Raw genomic sequence first — 18,944 nt, 5'->3', positions numbered from 1 at the left:
CAAAAACCATACAAATGAAAGCGCATGACGGACATCCCTACTTACATGTCTCATAAGCAATCTCAAACTTAACAGGCCCAAGATGAAATTCTCAATCATCCCCCAACACCTACTCCTCACCTTTCCCACCTCAGTAAATGTCACCACTTCAGTACTCTGGGAACCATTCTTGGTTTTCCTCAACCAATCCATCATCCAGTCCTATTCACTTTTTTTTTTTCCTCGAGACAAGGTCTCGCTCTGTCACCCAGGCTGGAGTGTAGTGGTGTGATCTCAGCTCACTGCAGCCTCGAATTCCTCGGCTCAAGGGTTTCTCCCACCTCAGCCTCCCAAGCAGCTGGGACTACAGGCGCGGGCCACCACACCAGGCTAATATTTTGTAATTTTGTAGAGACGGAATCTTGCCATGTTGCCCAGGCTGCTCGCAAACTCCTGGGCTCAAGCGATCCTCCCCTTTGGCCTCCCAAAGTGCTGGGATTACAGCCGTGGGCCACTGCACCAGGCCCTTCATTCACTTCTATCTGCACTGTCACCACCCTAATGTAAGCGAAAATCATCTCTCACATGATAATGAAGCAGCCAAAATGGTCTCTGGGCTTCTCCTGTACTCTCTCCAGTCCACACCAGGGCTCTAAACCCTTTAAACTACCCACTGTTCTTGAAAGAAACCAAACTTCTGAATCTGGCTTAAAAGACCCTACATGACCTCTTCCCCTGCTGCTCCCTCAAACCACTCTCCCCGTCCCTGACCTTGTGCCAGCACACTGGCGTTTCTGTAGTTCTCAACTGTATTCTGTTTCCTCCTGACAAACTCTTAATCATCCTTTGGGTCTCATTTCAGAGCTGGGTCCCCGCCATACACTCTCAGAGCACCCTGAAGTACTTAAGCATTTGTGTAATTATTTTATTACAAAAAGTATAAAATCACAAACTTAAAAACCCAATCGACTATAAGCTCCATAAGGGTAAGTACTGTCATCTGTTTGGTTCACCTCTGTATCCCCAGGAAAACAGGGTCCAGCACACGGTCTGGGCTCAATATTTGAACCCAGACGAGGTGAGGGGGGACAAAGTAGCCACCTAAAAATCCTAACTCAAAAAGATAAAGTTCTAACCGTATGTGGATGCCCATTTTGTTTCAACTCTCTCCACCCCCATTCTCAACGGCTCAGGCCAAATCATACATGGGACCAGATACCTCAGGTCTCCAAGCTCAGGCAGCCCCCGCTGTCTTCCACCCCATAAAGTTCTAAGTCCAAAGTGAGCCCGTCCTAGCTCTGGGGCGAGAGAAAACAGGCCTCTTTCGCCCCTGCAGGTGAGGGTCCCGGACCGCCCGGAGGCAGGTTCCTCATCCAGACCTACTGGCCAGGACTCCTCCACACTATTCCGTGCAGCCATGACGCACGCAGACCGCAGCACTTCGTCAGCGAAGAAGCCGCTGAGCGCGAGGCGCTTCTTCGCGGCTTCTCAAGCACCGTTCAAACCGCGCGTCGGGCCCAAGTGCCTAGCTTCGAGTCGCAAAGCCTCAGATGTCCACCCTATTCAAGGAGAATGGACTGAAAAGACGACGACCCCGGTCCTCTCTCTTTAAGAACCACCCCCATTCGAGCCTGACGGGGGCTCTCAGTAAACTCGCGAGAGCCACCGGCTTCCGCCCGCTTCCTCCTCTCGCCTTGCCGGGCCGGAAGAAAGGTGGCACCTCCCACCCCCCAGCCTTACCTCACAAGGCGGCGCGGACCCAGCTGCAGCCAATCGGCGGGCTCATTGTAGGCTGCGGGGCAGAGAGCCAATGAGAAGTCGCGGCGGACGCCCAGCTTCTCCTCACTCGCACCGGCCCCCTCCCTTCCGCCTGCCGCCTTCCACTCCGCCCCTGGCGGAGGAAGTGATGTCACAGGCCCCATGTGAGCGGATTGCAACACATGCAGCTGCCTGGAGAGAGGGAGCCGGTGTCCTACGTCAGAGCCGCCGCCGCCGCGGAGCCGCCGCCGGGGAGGAGCAGCCGCTGCCGCCCAGGACTGGGCCCTTAGGTAAGGCACAGGGAGGGAAAGGCCGGTGACCTTTGTGGCGAGCTGCACCGGACGGGAGGAGAGGGCCTCTGGGGGATGGCGAGGAAGGGGGCCGCTCTGCCCCAGCGGCGGCGCTAACTCTGTGGTCTTGGTGTCTCCGGGCCCCGCCGGGCCGCTCTAGGGAGGAGGAGGCGAGAAGATGGCGGACGACCCCAGTGCTGCCGACAGGAACGTGGAGATCTGGAAGATCAAGAAGCTCATTAAGAGCTTGGAGGCGGCCCGCGGGTGAGCGCCGCGTCCGGCACCCTCCGTGCCCTCTTGGTTCCCGGACCCCTCAGGATGGACGCCCCCGCGCCGCATGGCCGGATGAGGAGAACCAGGCACTAGCCAACTCCCGCCTTCTGGATCTCTGGGTAGTAGCCCCTGACCCAGGGGCGAGGGTCGGCGCGGTTGGCCCGAGAAGGGGTCCTTTCCCCGCATGGGGGTAAGGGGCCCGCGCTCCCCGGTTTAGATCACTCGGCCCCCCTCGTGGTAGGCCACCGCTACTTTTGCACCTCTCCCGGGCCCTTAAGTCCAGGTCCTCCCTCTTCGGGCTCCAGGTGCTGCCACCCGACTCGGGTGCTATTGTGGCAAAGTGTTCGGCCTTCCTTTCCCAGGGCCCTTCCCTGATTTCCTCTTCTCCCTTCATTTCTCAGCCAGGCCTCATTAAAATGGCCTCTCCCTTCTGGGCTTCTGAGACCCGGGTGGGTGAAGTTTGGATGGGACGGGAAGCAGAGGTGGCCAGGGACAGCTTCTTTCTGATTCCTGATTTCTCTGGGTCTTCCACCTGTCCCAAGATGACTTCTCCCAAGTCCTCTAATTACCCCGGAGCTTCCTGGTTTTAGCTGTTCCAGGACCCACCTATAAACTGAAAATGCCAACGTACGCGCGATGTGAGGGGTGCTGGGTAGGTTTTGGTTAATGAATCTGCATGTGTATGTCCAGGAGAAATACGGGTTAGGGGGCCGTTTGATAGGAATCATAACTACAGAGTCCCTGCTGGCATTTCTCTGAAACTTGTGGGGATATCGCTGTAGAGAGGCGCCTGATGTGCTTGATGCTTGTTGAGTGAGATTCATAATTGAATTAAATGGGCTTTGAGTCTTGTACATTTTGATAAGAAACTGTAGGTGTGTCCATTGGGGGGAGAGTAGGCTAGATTAAAATTAGCTGTGTGTGTGTGTTTTCTTTTTTTTTTAACGTTGTTCGTTTGAGGAAGGTGTGCCAGGGGTATTCCTGTTTCTTTTATTACTTTATTTTGTTCCTTTCCCAGTCATAGAAACTTTTTACTTACAGGAAGTGCCCCCCCCCCCAAAAAAAAGTGTTTGGAACATTATTACATACTTGTATGTCTGAGCATTCTTAGAATAGTAGAATGGCCTGCCTCAGGCCATGTGAAAAGTTGATTTCAGCACAAGAATTTGACATTCTGGTTTCCAGCCCAGGATTGTCATTTATGGGTAGATTTGCAATTTTAGAATGACAGCCCCTCCAAGCTCTTCATTATTACTGTTATATGAAACAGGATGTGCTTAATTGTACTGAAGGCCCAATTCACAGGTTGGTTTTACTAGTGTTTTGTTCTTAATAAATTAGGGACAGTTCTGTTTGGAATGAGGCTTCTAAAAGTTTGGCCCCATTCAGTGACGGGCTTGTGCTCACTCCTTCGGTTTACTGGAGAAACGTTAGTTTAATATGAATCGAAGACAGCGGCTTGTTAGTCCTTAGGTTTTTCTTTGAATTCAATAGAATATCCAGACCTTCTTAATGATCTTACAGGAACTTGTGCCGTATGATAGAGTGACCAGTTATTCCCAAAATGTGAGAATACTGTACAGAAAGGGTAACATAGGTCACGACCCATTATGTTGCACTACCAAGAATTAGCCAGGTTCTTTTGTTTCAGTAGGATCTTGTTTTGTTACTTGAAGCCTTCAATCCAGTATTGCATTTTATAGATTGCTGTTGTTGCAGTATTGTATATAGGTGGATGTGACCTCTGGATTTGTTCTTACTGCTTTCAGTAGCAGGCAGGTTTACACATTTTAATTTGCATACGTTATATTCTCTGAAACAGTCCAAAAAATTAAATCATGACTATAATTTGCCTGTTTGAATGAAGTAACATTGAAGATGACATTGCTTAATAAGTAACAGCATTCCTTTCTACTGCTTAATGAAGGAAACTCATTCTTAAATTTGTTCTACCCATGTTACCTAGCCACTAGAAACTTTTAAGCGCCTCTTTAAGGCTTTTGAAGGCTTTACCTCTTTGTTTAGCAAAGTTCAGTAAAGTTTAAAGCATGCTAAAAATGAAGTTATAAGACACAACTTGTATTTCAAGTTGTTGAGTTTGGATATTTCAGACATGATTAAGCTGTCTAAAATAGCTGGAGGACCTTCCGCTACACATTGTGGTTAATAATCATGTCCTACTTTGCTTTTAATCAGGATTTGGTTGCATCTTGATCCCATGGAAATTTAAAATCTTGGCCATCTCTGAGTATTGGTAAGGGAGTCAGAAGATTCCCCAGTATATACCAGTTTTTGGAGGTGGGAATATTTTCATTGCCAACTTGTGTTAAAGTCAGACTCTAGATTTTCATAGATAGGGTACAGTGGAAAATGTTATTCCTACTTTACCTAGTGATAAAATATCTTTAGAAGAATTGTAATGGGCTTTAAAGACTTAAGTGGATGGCAAAATGAATCTGTATTTGCTGATGTTTTGGGGATACTCTGGTTTTCAGGAGGAAACTGAGGTTTTCAGGCATGGTTATTAGGACAAGGTAGTGAGACTTAGTGGTTGAGTAACAGTATTGTTTTGGAAATGAAAAAGCCCTTTCCTCCCCTTAGCAGTGTAGAATTCTAGGCATAGGAATCATGGATTTGTTTTTAACAGTAGTTATTAAAATATGCTAGAATAAGAGTGATTTTGAAATTAAGATAATCCTATGTGGTTATCTCTTGATATATGACCCAAATTTAATGTAGCTTGAAAAAGGAACCACCTGCAAAATGGGCTCACTAACTACATCTGAATAAAGGGAAGTATGTTGGCAAAATAATTTATTAAGCACATACTATATTATAGACTGTGCTACAGTACATTATTAAGTCATTTAATCCTCACAAGTATTGCCACCATTTGGTAGACAAGGCACCTGAGGCTAAGAGATAATTTGTCCAAGATGTCACAGCAAAAATGTAGCAGAGTTCAGAACTTAAACCAATGTGCTATAATGGGTATATTTTATTTTCAGAAAATACAAAACTAGATTTCCTTAAAATGTAGTCTGAGCTATAACAGATTCTATTTTATGTTACACGTGTGTAGAAGAGCATTTATAGAGGCCACATTACTAAAATGGGGAACTTCATAGCATTCTGTTTTGTAACCAGCATCATACTTAATCTTCTGAGTTGAAAGGAGTGTCACACATAAACTTGATTTTTGATTTGGGTAGAACATGCTTATTTGGTTTCAGATAAGCCTGGTCGAATGTTAGTTTGTGTGTGCTAGTAAAATAACCAGTTAATTATTTTGGTAGACATAGGCCCCACTTAAAGTTGATGGTAGTTCTTCCCTGTTCATGATTGCTCCTGGTATATGCTCCACAGTTGGCTTATGAAGGACAAATGTATACATAAACCAATACTGTGGTTGAGGGTATCTTGAATAAGGAACTAAAACAGGTCAACGTATGTTGGAAAAAGGGGGAGAATTATTGGTTGTTTTTTCCCTTGGTGTTTTCTGAGCAGGCAAGAGGTGGCCTCAGAAATAATGTTGGACACCTTATAGTTTTAAGGTAATGTTAATAAAATCATAACTAGAGCCTGTGCTAGCCAGGGACAGTGGTGAATGTGACAAAGGAATGGACAGTGTTAATTTGGGTTAGGTTGTGTCTGTGGGTGTTAAAATGTCTTCACTTATCTTCACTAGGAAACCTTATGTGTTTCTTATCCAATGAACACTTGGTCAGATAACCCTCATAACCATAACCCTTGTTTGAAGGTCAGTGAGCTTGCAAACTTCTGCTGTAGTGTTTGGACATTTTAAAAACTGTTTACTTAAAAATAACTTGTTGATATCTTAATTCTAAATGAAATAAAATTGGTTGTTCCTGCCCCCAAATATAACCATTTTTAAAGAATCCCCACTGAATTCCTCACATTATATAGATTTAACAGTGTTTTGGCGAGATCATTGAATAGGTTAATGTTTTAAATCTTAGAGATAATTAATATGAACAGATTGCTTAATTTATATACTTTGAATAAATTAAGGTATGTTGGATGTGTTTGAGTACCTTCCCCAAGTAAACATTGTTGGTTAATAGAATATTCACCTAAATGGTGGTGGAAATAATATTCTCAAAGCACTGAATTTCACATTCTTTTTTTTTTTCCCTCACTATCGTTGAAGGGCTGGTTGTAGCTAAAATGATACATTGTGGTCTTTGATACAAATACCTGAACCATTTAAAGTTCAGGCTCATAAAGAAGACTTTTTTTGTCCTCTATTCTGGCTCTTTCCATGCCTCCCTTCCCCCAAACTGTTGGTTAGACAAATTAATAGGCCACATGAGGACTGGGCACGTTGACTCACACCTGTAATCCCAGCACTTTGGGAGGCCAAGGTGGGTGGATCACTTGAGGTCAGGAGTTCAAGACCAGCCTAGCCAACATGGTGAAACCCTGTCTCTACTAAAAATACAAAAATGAGCTGGGTGTGGTGGCTTGCACCTGTAATCCCAGCTACTCGGGAGGCTGAGGCAGGAGAAATGCTTGAACCTTGGAGGCGTAGGTTGCAGTGAGCCGGGATTCCGCCACTGCACTCCAGCCTGGGCAACAGAGTGAAACTCTGTCTCAAAAATAATAGGGGCCCAGGCCGGGCGTGGTGGCTCACGCCTGTAATCCTAGCACTTTGGGAGGCCAAGGCAGGTGGATCACCTGAGGTCAGGAGTTTGAGACCAGCCTGACCAACATGGAGAAACCCTGTCTACTAAAAATACAAAATTAGCCAGGCATGGTGGTGCATGCCTGTAATCTCAGCTACTAGGGAGGCTGAGGCAGGAGAATCGCTTGAACCTGGGAGGTGGAGGTTGCGGTGAGCCGAGATTGCGCCATTGCACTCCAGCCTGGGCAACAAGAGCAAAACTCAGTCTCAGAAAAAAAAAAAATAATAATAATAATAGGGGCCTGGTGCGGTGGCTCACGCCTGTAATCCCAGCACTTTGGGAGGCCAAGGTGGGCAGGTCACAAGGTCAGGAGATCGAGACCATCCTGGCTAACACAGTGAAACCCTGTCTCTACTAAAAATACTAGCCAGGCATGGTGGCGGGCACCTGTAGTCCCAGCTACTCGGGAGGCTGAGGCAGGAGAATGGCTTGAACCCGGGAGGCGGAGCTTGCAGTGAGCCGAGATTGCGCCACTGCACTCCAGCCTGGGCGACAGAGCAAGATTCCATCTCAAAAAAAATAATAATAACAATAATAATAAATAAAGACCACATGAGAAAAAAGTCAAGAACTAGACTATTTTAAGTTTTGTGAGAAGAGATGAATATAGAACAAACAACTACAGACTTCTCACTCTTTCCAAATTTTGGTTTCCACATGTGTAACTATGGACATTAATCTTGGATTAGGTGGTAACAGTTGAGATAATATGGGTTAAAATACTTAACACCACATTTGCCACATAGAGAGTGCTCTGTAATGTTAGCTCTTTCCTTTTGTATATACAAACATTGATTCTGTAGAGATACCCTAATGGAGAACTGTATTATTAAAAGATCAGGATACAGATGCCACAGGTCTGAACTATGAGAAAGAGGAGAAATAGATGAGAGAGAAAAGAGGTAGTAAAGGGAAGAGGACAGAGTATATATGTTAGAAAGGATGTGGTGGTGGTCCTTAGTTTCCTCCAAGTATGTAGGCTGCCTGCTTCAACTCAGAACTAGTCCTAACAGCCGTTGTATCTGGCATGGTGTTCTATGCACTGTGAACCTAATGAACAATTACTCCCTTTGAATTTCAAGTCTTGACAGACCTCCTATTGTAATAGCAGATATACTTATGCTTCCAGGGAAGGAAGGCTTACTCTGGACATATTGCAAGGTAAGCAAGAGTACATAATTAGAGTATCATTTAAGGCAGAGTGCTGTGTAGGTTATAGGTCTCTCCCATCCTCCACACCAGTTGGACCCTTTCTTCACAGGGCTCGTTTTCTTTGAACTTGAGATTGAGGATCGGCCCAGTACAGCACCACCCCCTGTCCTGGGATGGTACTTCATTGTTAAAAAAGTTAGTGTCAGCTTTGCAGCAGGGCTATAAATGGTCTTCGATCCTATTTGAAGAGTAGGAAGGAGAAATTTGCCTTCCCACTGCTGGATCTGTTCAACTAAGAGGCTGGACAGTAGAAATTACTTCTCAGTCCAGCCTATTCTCTAGGGCTCTCAGAATAGAACCTTCTCCTAGGATACATTCTGTAGGTGTCTTTTAATTCTTCAGCAGCCTACTATCTTAGTGAGGGGGAGAAGGAATTAGGAAGGTTCAGGCTTTTTTTCCCCGGCAGGTTAGAAATTGAGAGTCTGAGGTTTCTCACTGGGTACTGTCCTCAGAGAGTATGATGAAGCTCCCTCTGATACGGTTTTATCTTATGCCATTTGACACACATCCTTGCCCACTCTCTTTACTCTTCTCACAATCCTTTCAGGTTCAGAGGACTTGACATTTTCAGGTGCCTGGCAACTGGTTCTTATCATACAGATAGCTCTGCATGTTGAGTTTGTACTCTTGTTTTCACATTTTCATTTGTTCTTCTAAGATCTCCTTTAGAAGAATGATCATAGTCAAAATAAAAGGTTCTTTTTGTTTTCCTGCTGTGTCTGTGACCTTATAAACTAGATTTTCCTCCAAAATACACATCTGGGTATATGAATATGAAGCCAGAAATGCACTTTTACTATTAACCAGTAAGCTAATGGGCTTCACCAAACATCTGCTGTGAGTTGGGCACTAGACATTTTGGAAGAAATATGTAATAAAATGAAAACATGATCTGCCACACAACCATGGAATGATAATATAAACCATTTTCAACTCCATATTAGTGAGTACAGAATAACACAGTACATGTTGAAGGGGATTTAGTATAAGCAGATGATTAAGGTCTTTTTTTTTTTTTTTTTTTTTTTTTTGAGGCGGAGTCTCGCTTTCCCGCCCAGGCTTGAGTGCAGTGGTGCGATCTCAGCTTACTGCAACCTCCACCTCCCAGGTTCAGCTCAGCCTCCCGAGTAGCTGGGATTACAGGTGTGTCCCACCAAGCCTGGCTAATTTTTTCTTTTTTTTTTTTTGAGACGGTCTTGCTCTCTTGCCCAGGCTGGAGTGCAGTGGCGTGATCTCAGCTCACTGCAACCTCCACCTCCCAGGTTCAAGCGATTCTCCTGCCTCAGCCTCCCAAGTATCTGAGATTACAGGCACCCGCCACCACAGCCGGCTAATTTTTGCATTTTTTAGTAGAGACAGAGTTTTGCCATGTTGGCAAAGCTGGTCTCGAACTCCTGACCTCAGGTGATCCGCCCGCCTCGGCCTCCCAAAGTGCTGGGATTACAGGCGTGAGCCACCGCGCCTGGCCGAAATTCATCTTTTATTAAAAGGAGGTTGCAGTGAGCCGAGATCGTGCCACTGCACTCCAGCCTGGGCAACATAGCCAGTCTCTGTCTCAAAAAAAAAAGCCAATTATTCATCCATGGGCTTCAGTTTCCCCATCTGCTTCATGGGGGAACTAATGCTTTCTTCTTCTTCTTTAAAAAAGGTAACATTGGCTGGGTATGGTTGCTCATGCCTGTAATCCCAGTACTTTGGGAGGTCTAGGCAGGTAGATCACTGAGGTAAGGAGTTCAAGACCAGCCTGGCCAACATGGTGAAAACCTGTCTCTACTAAAAATAAAAAAATTAGTTGGGTGTGTTGGCACATGCCTGTAATCCCAGCTACTCGGGAGGCTGAGGCAAGAGAATCGCTTGAACCCAAGAGGCGGAAGTTGCAGTGAGCCAATACCAGCCTGGGCTATAGAGGGAGACTCTGTCTCAAAAAAAAAAAAAAAAAAGAAACTAGTTTTCTGAGGATGAGTAAGCATACATTTGACCCCCCCCCTTATAACCTTATAACAGCTCTGTGAGGAAAGCTATTATTGCCATTTCATGGATGAAGAAATTAAAGTACATACAGGGAGTAAATAGCTGCCTAATATCACAGCCTTTAGTAAGGGTCAGTGCCAGATTCTGTACTCACTTTTCTGATTTCAAAGCCTGTGGTGCTAATTTGTACAACACTACCTTGCCCTTTGGCAAGTATTTCTTTTGCTGAATAGAGACGTCTCCCATTCCCTTCTGAAAGGAAGACTCTTGTCCATGGAGATTTGTAATTTAGTAGGAGGAGCAGGTGTGCTGAGACTCAGGTGCAAAGATTTAAAAGAAAACAGACATGCTATTTCCACCCTAGGAAGAACTTGGATACTGAACATGTTTATTCTTGACGAGCATCAGTGGAGAGAGAAATAACTTGTTGCAAAATCCCTCCCCAGGAGCTCATTCGTATATTAGAAAGATCTAAGTAGTGAAGTAATGAATCCCGAACACTGGTTGTGATTGCAGTCTCTTGCTTTGCACTGTTGTAAGAACACTAGAGAAATTTTCCAGCTTCAAAGCTGCTTCCTGGTGGAATATTCCACTGGGTTTGTGAAGATCTTTTAATTTTTCTTTTTAAGACTAATAATGCCTATCATTGTAGAAAAAGTGTACACACTCTACCAGATGTGTACATTTTTGTTTTAGATGACTGAGTAAATCTTTGTTCTCTGGGGGACAGAAAGCTAAAATGAACCTTTGTGAACTTTATTCTGAAAATGTTTGGACATCTGAGTTATTCTGTACCCTAGGGTGGAGGTTGCTGTAATGTCTCAGTAAGTTCCGGTCTTGGTATTTCTCCCATTTGGTAATAGCATCTGACTCTAAGGTCAATTGCATAAACTAATTTCAGGTAACTTTCCTAGTCCCTTTGAAGGGTAACAGAATCATCCCTCCTAATTTGATAGTCTAACTAAACCTTTTATAAAAGGCAGCCCCATCCACCTCCTAACATGCCTCATAGATGGTAGTAGCAGAGGGAGTGGGGTGGCATTAATGTGAGGATCAACAAAATTAAAATGACACTTCATAAGGGTTGGTTTTGTTTAGTGCTGGTTTTCTTAAGGTAAACGCCTAATATAGTATGATGGTTTGAACTTTTAGGTGCAGTGAAAGATGGGGACAGTTAGTCAATTTAAGGCACATTAGTTCCTCTCCAAGGACTGACAATTTGTTGTTGGTTTTTGTTTTGTTTTGTTTTTGAGGTGGAGTCTTGCTCTGTCTCCAGGCTGGAGTGCAGTGGTGCGATCTTGGCTCACCGCAACCACTGCCTCCCAGGTTTAAGCGATTCTTCTGCCTCAGACTCCCAAGTAACTGGTACTACAGGTGCGTGCCACCACATCCAGCTAAGTTTTGTATTTTTAGTAGAGACAGGGTTTCACCATGTTGGCCAGGATGGTCTCGATCTCTTGACCTCGTGATCCGCCTGCCTCGGCCTCTCAAAGTGCTGGGATTACAGGCGTGAGCCACTGTGCCCGGCCAGATTTTTTTATTGGTATTTTATTTGGTAGTTTAGAATAAATCTCTGGTGTTTGCTTAAAAAAGAGTATATAGAGATGATGGTAGGAATTGGCCATTTATTCATTTTTCAAATGTTTGAGCACCACTATGTGCTAAAATGATTTTTGCCCTCAGGATGCTTATATACACTTGGGCTGGGCCCGGTGGCTCACGCCTGTAATCCCAGCACTTTGGGAGGCTGAGGTGGATGGAGAGGTCAGGAGTTCGAGACCAGTCTGGCCAACATGGTGAAACCCTTTCCGTACTAAAAATGCAAAAATTAGCCAGGCGTGGTGGTCCGTGTCTGTAATCCCAGCTACTTGGGAGGCTGAGGCAAGAGAATTGCTTGAACCCGGGAGGCGGAGGTTGCAGTGAGTCGAAATGGCGCCACTGTACTCCAGCCTGGGTTACAGAGTGAGACTCCGTCTCAAAAAAAAAAAAAGAAGCTTATATACACTTACTGTAAACAATGTGTTTCATTGTTTGATACTTGGTGGAAGAGAAAAGAGAAGTTGAGTATCAGGTCCCTGTGAAGACTGGCCATAGGTTATATCAGAATACTGAACTCATGCCACACAAGTTTTAGAAAGGAATGAATTTCTATGGTTCTCCCTTATGATAAATTACAGAGTTTCCAGTGTTCTGGCCATATTATTTTTGGTATAGCTCTTTTGTTCTGTGGAAGATTTGGCAAGTCCTGTAATCCCGTAAAGGTGACCATCATCTGCTACAAAAAATCAGCTCATACTTCAGGACCTAACAGGATTCAAATAAGACTTCAACCCCATCTGATATTACCTCTCTCCCCTCCCCATTTCTAGTTGGGCTGTGCTACTTCTTTCCAACTGGTACTACTGGTGGAGGGGAGGCGATAGTCAAGAACTAGAGCTCCATCTCATTACCATTTAGTGATCAGTTACTATCTGCTCTCCAAGCTAGGCACTTGACATATATGATCTCGTAGAATCCTCATGATCTTGTGAAGTAAGTAGAAACAGACCCACAGGGATTTGTGTGGTTTGCCTTCGGTCACACGGCCATTAAGTGATAGAGCTGGACGTGAGCCTGAATCTGGGCTCCTCCTATTCTGTTCCCATATTAACCCCATATCAAAAAGACCATCTTAGTTTAAAAGTTTAAACTTAGTTTTGCAAATTTGGGAGAAGAAAAATGGAAAACACACAGTGAATAAAACAATGACAGTTTTGGAAATGGAGTAGAAATTGAAGAGGAACTGATTGATTTTCAGGTGGTGATCCATGTAATACTGCTGGCTTAGTGACTTTCCCAGAAATGATCTGGCTGAGATTTATTTATTTATTTATTTTATTTTATTTTTTTGAGGCGGAGTCTCGCTCTGTCGCCCAAGTTGGAGTGCAGTGGCTCGATCTCGGCTCACTGCAAGCTCCGCCTCCCGGTTCACACCATTCTCCTGCCTCAGCCTCCCAGGTAGCTGGGACTATAGGCGCCCGCCACCACGCCCGGCTAATTTTTTTGCATTTTTAGTAGAGATGGGGTTTCACCCTGTTAGCCAGGGTGATCTCAATCTCCTGACCTCGTGATCCGCCCACCTTGGCCTCCCAAAGTGCTGGGATTACAGGTGTGAACCACTGCACCTGGCCTCTGGCTGAGATTTAAATTGAGCTTTGTGAGGCAGGCACAGATGGGAGCTTGAAAAGGGAAGTGGTGAAAAATTTGGCCATCCATAGCCTAGGCACAACCCAGCCATCAAACCCTGGGATGAAAGCTTCTTGGGGAGCATGTACTGTACATCCCGGTTAGGGAGTATAGTAAGCAGTGTCTAAAACGTTCCTGGTCCTAACCTGAAAGTAGTTAACGTGATTTACAAGTGATGACTTGGATGGCAGAGTACTTGAGGGGGAGTGAGTGTTCGGGCTGGTAAAGTTGAGTATCTCTGAGCTGTCACAATTCATTATGGTTGTATTATAGCTAGGTTGTCTTAGGTTTTGGGGGTTTTTTGATTTTTGTTTTTGTGCTGCTATAACAGAATACCACAGATTGGTGTTCTGGTAAGGGCCTGCTCTCTGCTTTTAAGATGGCACCTTGAACGCTGCATCCTTTGTTGGGGAGGAACACTGTTCCTCTCATGGCAAGAGAACAAAAGAGAGATGGCCCACTACTTATAAGCACCTTATTTTATCTTTTTTGTGTGCGCGTGTGACTGTAGCTCTCAGGTCTTATAAGCACCTTATTTTAAATAGCAGCATGAATCTATTCATGAGGGCAGAGCCCTCATAACCTAAACACATTCCATATGCCCCACCTTTCAATACTATTGCAGTGGGGATTAAGTTTCCAACACATGAATTTGGGGGGACACCTTCAAACCATAGCATAGGGTAAATGCAGCAAGCAACTGCTCTGGGTTCTTCTTCTTTGGGTGGAGGTGAGGTTGTGGAGGCTTGTTACCTTCAGCAGACCTAGAGATGACCCTGTGAAGAAAGCAAGCCAGATGCAGTGATTCTCAACCCTAGTTCTGCATTAGAATCTTGCGTATTTGAGGCCGGGCACAGTCGCTCACACCTGTAATCCCAATTCTTTGGGAGGCCAAGGCAGACAGATCACTTGAGGTCAGGAGTTCGAGACCAGCCTGGCCAACATGGTGAAACCCTGCCTCTACTAAAAATAGCCAGGCATTGTGGCGCGTGCCTGTAACCCTAGCTACTTGGGAGGCTGAGGCAGGAGAATTGCTTGAACTGGGGAGGCAGAGGTTGCAAAGATCAGAGATGGCGCCACTGCACTCCAGCCTAGGAGACAAGAGTGAGACTCTGTCTCAAAGAAAAGAATCAGCTGGGTGCGGTGGCTAAAGCCTGTAATCCCAACACTTTGGGAGACTGAGGTGGGTGGATAATTTGAGATCAGGGGTTCGAGACCAGCCTGGCCAACATGGCAAAACCCCATCACTACTAAAAATACAACAATTAGCTGGGCGTGGTAGTGGGCGCCTGTATCCCAGCTACTTGGGAGGCTGAGGCAGAAGAATCACTTGAATCCAGCAGGCAGAAGCTGCAGTGAGCCGAGATCACACCACTGCACTGTAGCCTGGGTGGCAGAGCGAGACTCTGTCTCAGAGAAAAAAAAAATCTTTCATATTTCAAAATTGAGACTGTCTCAACCAAAATCATCACCACCCTCACTCTCCCTATTCAGAAACTATTGAGTCAGGATGGAGGAAGAAGGGATCTTTTGTGTCTGAGCATGTATTCTTTTATTTTGCTTCTTTAGAAAGCTCTAAAAGGATTCAGGGCTGGGAGGTATGCAAACTGAAGTGTTCTTGAGCATTGTTGATGATGGTGAACATTGATTAAGATCCTTGTGGGTCAGGCGGGCACGGTCGCTTGCGCCTATAACCTTAGCTGCTCAGTGAGTCTGAGGTGGGAGGAGTGTTTGGGCCCAAGAGTTCGTGACCAGCCTGGGCAGCCTTGTGAGATCCTATCTCGAAAATAAAAAGAAAAATTAGCTGAGCGTGGTGGTGCGTACCTGTAGTCCCAGGCTAGGGTGGGAGGATCACTTGAACCCAGGAGTTTCCAGGTTACAGTGAGCTGTGATTGTGCCACTGCACTCCAGTCTGGGTGACAGAGCAAGACCCCATCTCTAAAAAAATTATCTTTCTACTTGAGTTTTGTTTGGGATTTATTTGGTTTAGTTCTGTTACAATTCCTTTTTTTCACCTGTTTGATTTTTCAGACGTTAACCCTCTGGGCGAAGCATTGATGAAAGCTTTGATAAGCCAAAGTGCCCCTAAAACCAATGAGAACAAGAAGAGAATCTGAGTGCAGAGGCCCCTGGGAGCTTTGAGGGATACATTGCTGTATGTTGTCTCTTGTTTTGCCCAGTTTTTACAACCTGCATGTGACACATTGCTGTACCCCATGATTCACTAGTTCTTTGATTTCGGAAGAGGAGTATAGGGATAGTAGAAAAACGAAGGAAAACTATTACAGTTAAAGAAGGTTGTAGTTTGCCTGTGTAGCCAGCATCTCCTTAGTGAGAGCTTTATTTTTCATTTTCCCCTGAAGGGTGTTCACTTTAAAAGACATGGAAGTATTCAGCTTCCTTAATTTTATTTTGGGTGTTTACACAAACTGGTCTAACAACTTTGATTGACTTGCAGGAGTGAGGGTAAATGAATGTTTATCTTGTTTGGAAACTTTACTGGAAAAACGTTAATCTGCTTGTTTTTTTTGTTTGTTTGTTTGTTTGGTTTTGGTTTTTGTTGGTTTTGTTTTTGTTTTTTGAGATGGAGTCTCGCTCTGTCACCCAGGCTGTAGTGCAATGGCGGGATCTTGGCTCACTGCAACCTCTGCCTCCCAGGCTCAAGCCGATTCTCCTGCTGGGATTACAAGCATGCACTACCACGCCCAGCTAGTTTTTGTATTTTTAGTAGAGATGGGTTTCCTCATGTTGGCCAGGCTGGTCTCAAACTCCTGACCACAGGTGATCCACCTGTCTCGGCTTCCCAAAGTCCTGGGATTACAGACATGAGCCACCATGCCTGGCCCAGTCTGCTTGTATTAAACCTAACATACAAAACATCAGAAGTTATTAAAGTACCCTTTAAATTTTTAAAGTGAAAGCCATCCATTTAATAATCTGCATTTCCCCTCCCTAGTCAGGTGTCTTATTTTAAAGGTAAATTCAGAAACTTAATGTTTCCCCCATAGAAGGTAGGGGGAGGGGGCATGCAGGGAAACTAGTGAAAGGTAATTTTTTGCACCTAATTCAAAAGGAATAAGAAGCCAAGACCAAGTTTCAAGTTTTGTTTCATTTATCAACTTTGTAGAAATCTACCAAACAAAAAACAATTCTTAGGCAAGCTACACTTTTGAGCCATTTTTTAAAGTGGAATCCTATAACAAGATTACATTCTTAGGTGTATTTGCTCCTTGGTCCTCTGGAATGTTACATGGATATGGAATGTAAGGTTGCCCAACTGGGCTATACAGTAGGGTTGCTTAATGAATGTTTATCTTCTTAAACTATCAGCAGTGGAAAGTAAGTAGCTGCTTATCTTAAGGTCATTGCTTTGCCCTCCACATCATTATCTTATTTGAAGGGTTGCTGTAAGGCATTTTGAGTTCTCTCAGTTAATTTGTCCCAAATTTCTCCCCTCTTTAGCCTTAAACGTTCCAAATCTTTGGGGTTTGTTGCCTGTTCTTCCTCAGCTCTGAGACTTTACCTTTGCCATCCGTTTTCATTCCATTCCCTGCCGACTGCATCTTAGGAAACTATTCTCTGTAAGTCAGAGCATGTCGGCTTTTTAAAAAACCAACACCTTTTAAGAAAAAACTTCCAGCCGGGCATGGTGGCTCACGCCTGTAATCCTAGCACTTTGGGAGGCTGAGGCGGGCGGATCACCTGAGGTCGGGAGTTCGAGACCAGCCTGACCAACATAGAGAAACCCCGTCTCTACTAAAAATACAAAATTAGTCAGGCGTAGTGGCACATACCTGAAACCCCAGCTACTCAGGAGGCTGAGGCAGGAGAATGGCTTGAACCCAGGAGGCGGAGGTTGCAGTGAGGTGACATCGTGCCACTGCACTCCTGCCTGGGGAACAAAAGGGAAACCCCCTCTCAAAAAAAAAAAGAAAAGAAAGAACTTCCTACAAACCCCTAGGGTTGTAGGCCCCTTGAGAATTGGCTTACCAAGCATAAGCCAGTAAAATTGGTACTCAAGTGTTTTCCCCATCTTTTATCTCTTCGTATTCTCCCTGTGCATGAGTGGACCCCTGTGTCAGGTAGGTGGCACCTACAGTCTAGATTGTGATGGAAGTTCTGTTTAGTTGCCCAGTGTTTCCAGTCTCTTCCAAAGCAAGTATCTTTTCTCTCCATTGGCATGTATGTAGAGTTTGACATAACTCCAGAAGGAATTATCAAAAAGGTTTTTTGGAAATTACAGTTTAGAAGCCTAGCAAGTGTTTGTGATGATAACTGAAGCAGTGTATCATAAATTTCCTTGATTCCGTGGTTTGGCCAGAATGCTTGCTCCCCTATCCAAGGGGTGGCAGCAGAGCACACACCATACTGTCCTGTGTACTGTCTTTGATTAGCTTGTAATTTATTGGGGAAAATAGCACAGAAGTTTATGAACCAGCCTTCAAGGTAGACACCCAAACAGAATTCTGATTTTTGGATATGTAACTTTGGCTGCCAATCTGAGAGTAGCTATTTTTGATAGTGGGAGGACTGGACAGCCAGCTCATCTAGTTAGAAAGAAAACTGTTTTCTGGGCCGGGTACAGTGGCTCACACCTGTAATCCTAGCACTTTGGGAGGCCAAGGCAGGTGGATCATGAGCTCAGGAGTTCCAGACCAGCCCGACCAACATGGTGAAACCACATCTCTACTAAAAATACAAAAATTAGAAGGTCAGGCATGGTGGCTCATGCCTGTAATCCCAGTACTTTGGGAGGCTGAGGTGGGCGGATCACAAGGTCGGGAGATCGAGAACATCCTGGCTAACATGGTGAAACCCCATCTCTACTAAAAATACAAAAAATTAGCTGGGTGTGGTTGCATGCGCCTGTAGTCTCAGCTCCTCAGGAGGCTGAGGCAGAAGAATTGCTTGAACCCAGGAGGCAGAGCTTGCAGTGAGCTGAGATGGCACCACTGCACTCCAGCCTGGGCAGCAGAGCGAGACTCCATCTCAAAAAAAAAACAATAGCTGTTGGGCATGATGGTGCATGCCTGTAATCCCAGCTACTCCAGAGGCTGAGGCAGGAGAATTGCTTAAACCTGGGAGGCGGAGGTTGCAGTCAGCCAAGATCATGCCACTGTACTCCAGCCTGAGCAACAGAGCAAGACTCCATCCTGGGGGGCAGGGGGTAGGCGGGAAGAAAACCATTTTCTGCCTGGAAAACCTGTGGAATTAACCACTAGGAGAAAACTTCCAGGGCAAGAGGTCCTGTTAATGAGATCCCTTCCCAATGCAAATACCGAAGACACTATAGTACACGTTTATGAAATTTTGCTTTATGAAAATAAGCTTTCTAGGACCCAATTTGAGATATTTTCATATTTTAAACACCTGTAGTTAAAAGCTAATATAGGGGGTTTATTTTCGTTCCCCTCACAGTGCTGCTTCTGTTCTTACTAGTCACTTAACACGTAAGCCCATTTAATTTGACTCTGTAACCAGCTTTCTGATTTCTTTTTCTTGCCAGCTTCCACTGGACTCTGGATAGGTG

General features: G+C 44.9%; 1 protein-coding gene across 10 annotated transcripts in view, besides 7 other annotated features; it reads left to right on the top strand.

Annotated features, from left to right (window-relative positions):
* Positions 657 to 1,446: an enhancer, noted in NCBI's record as "NANOG-H3K27ac-H3K4me1 hESC enhancer chr5:137879367-137880156 (GRCh37/hg19 assembly coordinates)". NCBI's record gives its function as "activates a minimal SCP1, AML or CMV promoter by ChIP-STARR-seq in primed H9 embryonic stem cells {active_cell/tissue: H9 hESC(primed)}" and the evidence as "EXISTENCE:reporter gene assay evidence [ECO:0000049][PMID:30033119]".
* Positions 657 to 2,377: a biological region, named in NCBI's record as "P300/CBP strongly-dependent group 1 enhancer GRCh37_chr5:137878436-137879635".
* Positions 1,178 to 2,377: an enhancer, noted in NCBI's record as "P300/CBP strongly-dependent group 1 enhancer chr5:137878436-137879635 (GRCh37/hg19 assembly coordinates)". NCBI's record gives its function as "activates an origin of replication core promoter dependent on BRD2, BRD4, P300/CBP, MED14 and CDK7 cofactors, with strong dependence on P300/CBP, by STARR-seq in HCT116 cells {active_cell/tissue: HCT116}" and the evidence as "EXISTENCE:reporter gene assay evidence [ECO:0000049][PMID:35650434]".
* Positions 1,328 to 1,727: an enhancer, noted in NCBI's record as "active region_23206". NCBI's record gives its function as "activates an Ori minimal core promoter by ATAC-STARR-seq in GM12878 lymphoblastoid cells {active_cell/tissue: GM12878}" and the evidence as "EXISTENCE:reporter gene assay evidence [ECO:0000049][PMID:35858748]".
* Positions 1,447 to 2,236: an enhancer, noted in NCBI's record as "NANOG-H3K27ac-H3K4me1 hESC enhancer chr5:137878577-137879366 (GRCh37/hg19 assembly coordinates)". NCBI's record gives its function as "activates a minimal SCP1, AML or CMV promoter by ChIP-STARR-seq in primed H9 embryonic stem cells {active_cell/tissue: H9 hESC(primed)}" and the evidence as "EXISTENCE:reporter gene assay evidence [ECO:0000049][PMID:30033119]".
* The window catches only part of ETF1 (eukaryotic translation termination factor 1), a 37,142-nt gene continuing 20,085 nt past the window's right edge, over positions 1,888 to 18,944 (top strand). For 2 of the 10 annotated variants that reach the window (NR_157090.2, NM_004730.4), the window contains exons 1-2: positions 1,888 to 2,027; positions 2,188 to 2,291. Coding sequence is in view for 4 of the 10 variants with exons in the window: in NM_004730.4 (NP_004721.1) it covers positions 2,206 to 2,291 (86 nt within the window). In the remaining 6 variants the exon portion in view is untranslated. Of the gene's footprint in view, positions 2,028 to 2,180; positions 2,491 to 3,412; positions 3,606 to 15,445; positions 15,570 to 18,944 lie in introns of those variants that run through there. The other 8 variants (XM_047416932.1, XM_047416930.1, NM_001291975.2 and 5 more) reach the window with 7 other exon arrangements.
* Positions 2,018 to 2,067: a silencer, noted in NCBI's record as "silent region_16401". NCBI's record gives its function as "represses an Ori minimal core promoter by ATAC-STARR-seq in GM12878 lymphoblastoid cells {active_cell/tissue: GM12878}" and the evidence as "EXISTENCE:reporter gene assay evidence [ECO:0000049][PMID:35858748]".
* Positions 8,070 to 8,364: a silencer, noted in NCBI's record as "tiled region #2814; HepG2 Repressive DNase matched - State 5:Enh". NCBI's record gives its function as "represses a minimal TATA promoter and a strong SV40 promoter by Sharpr-MPRA in HepG2 cells {active_cell/tissue: HepG2}" and the evidence as "EXISTENCE:reporter gene assay evidence [ECO:0000049][PMID:27701403]".

Source organism: Homo sapiens, chromosome 5 (genome assembly GCF_000001405.40).
Source record: "Homo sapiens chromosome 5, GRCh38.p14 Primary Assembly".
Taxonomy (NCBI): Eukaryota; Metazoa; Chordata; class Mammalia; order Primates; family Hominidae; genus Homo; species Homo sapiens.
This window is presented reverse-complemented; position numbering and strand designations above follow the sequence as displayed.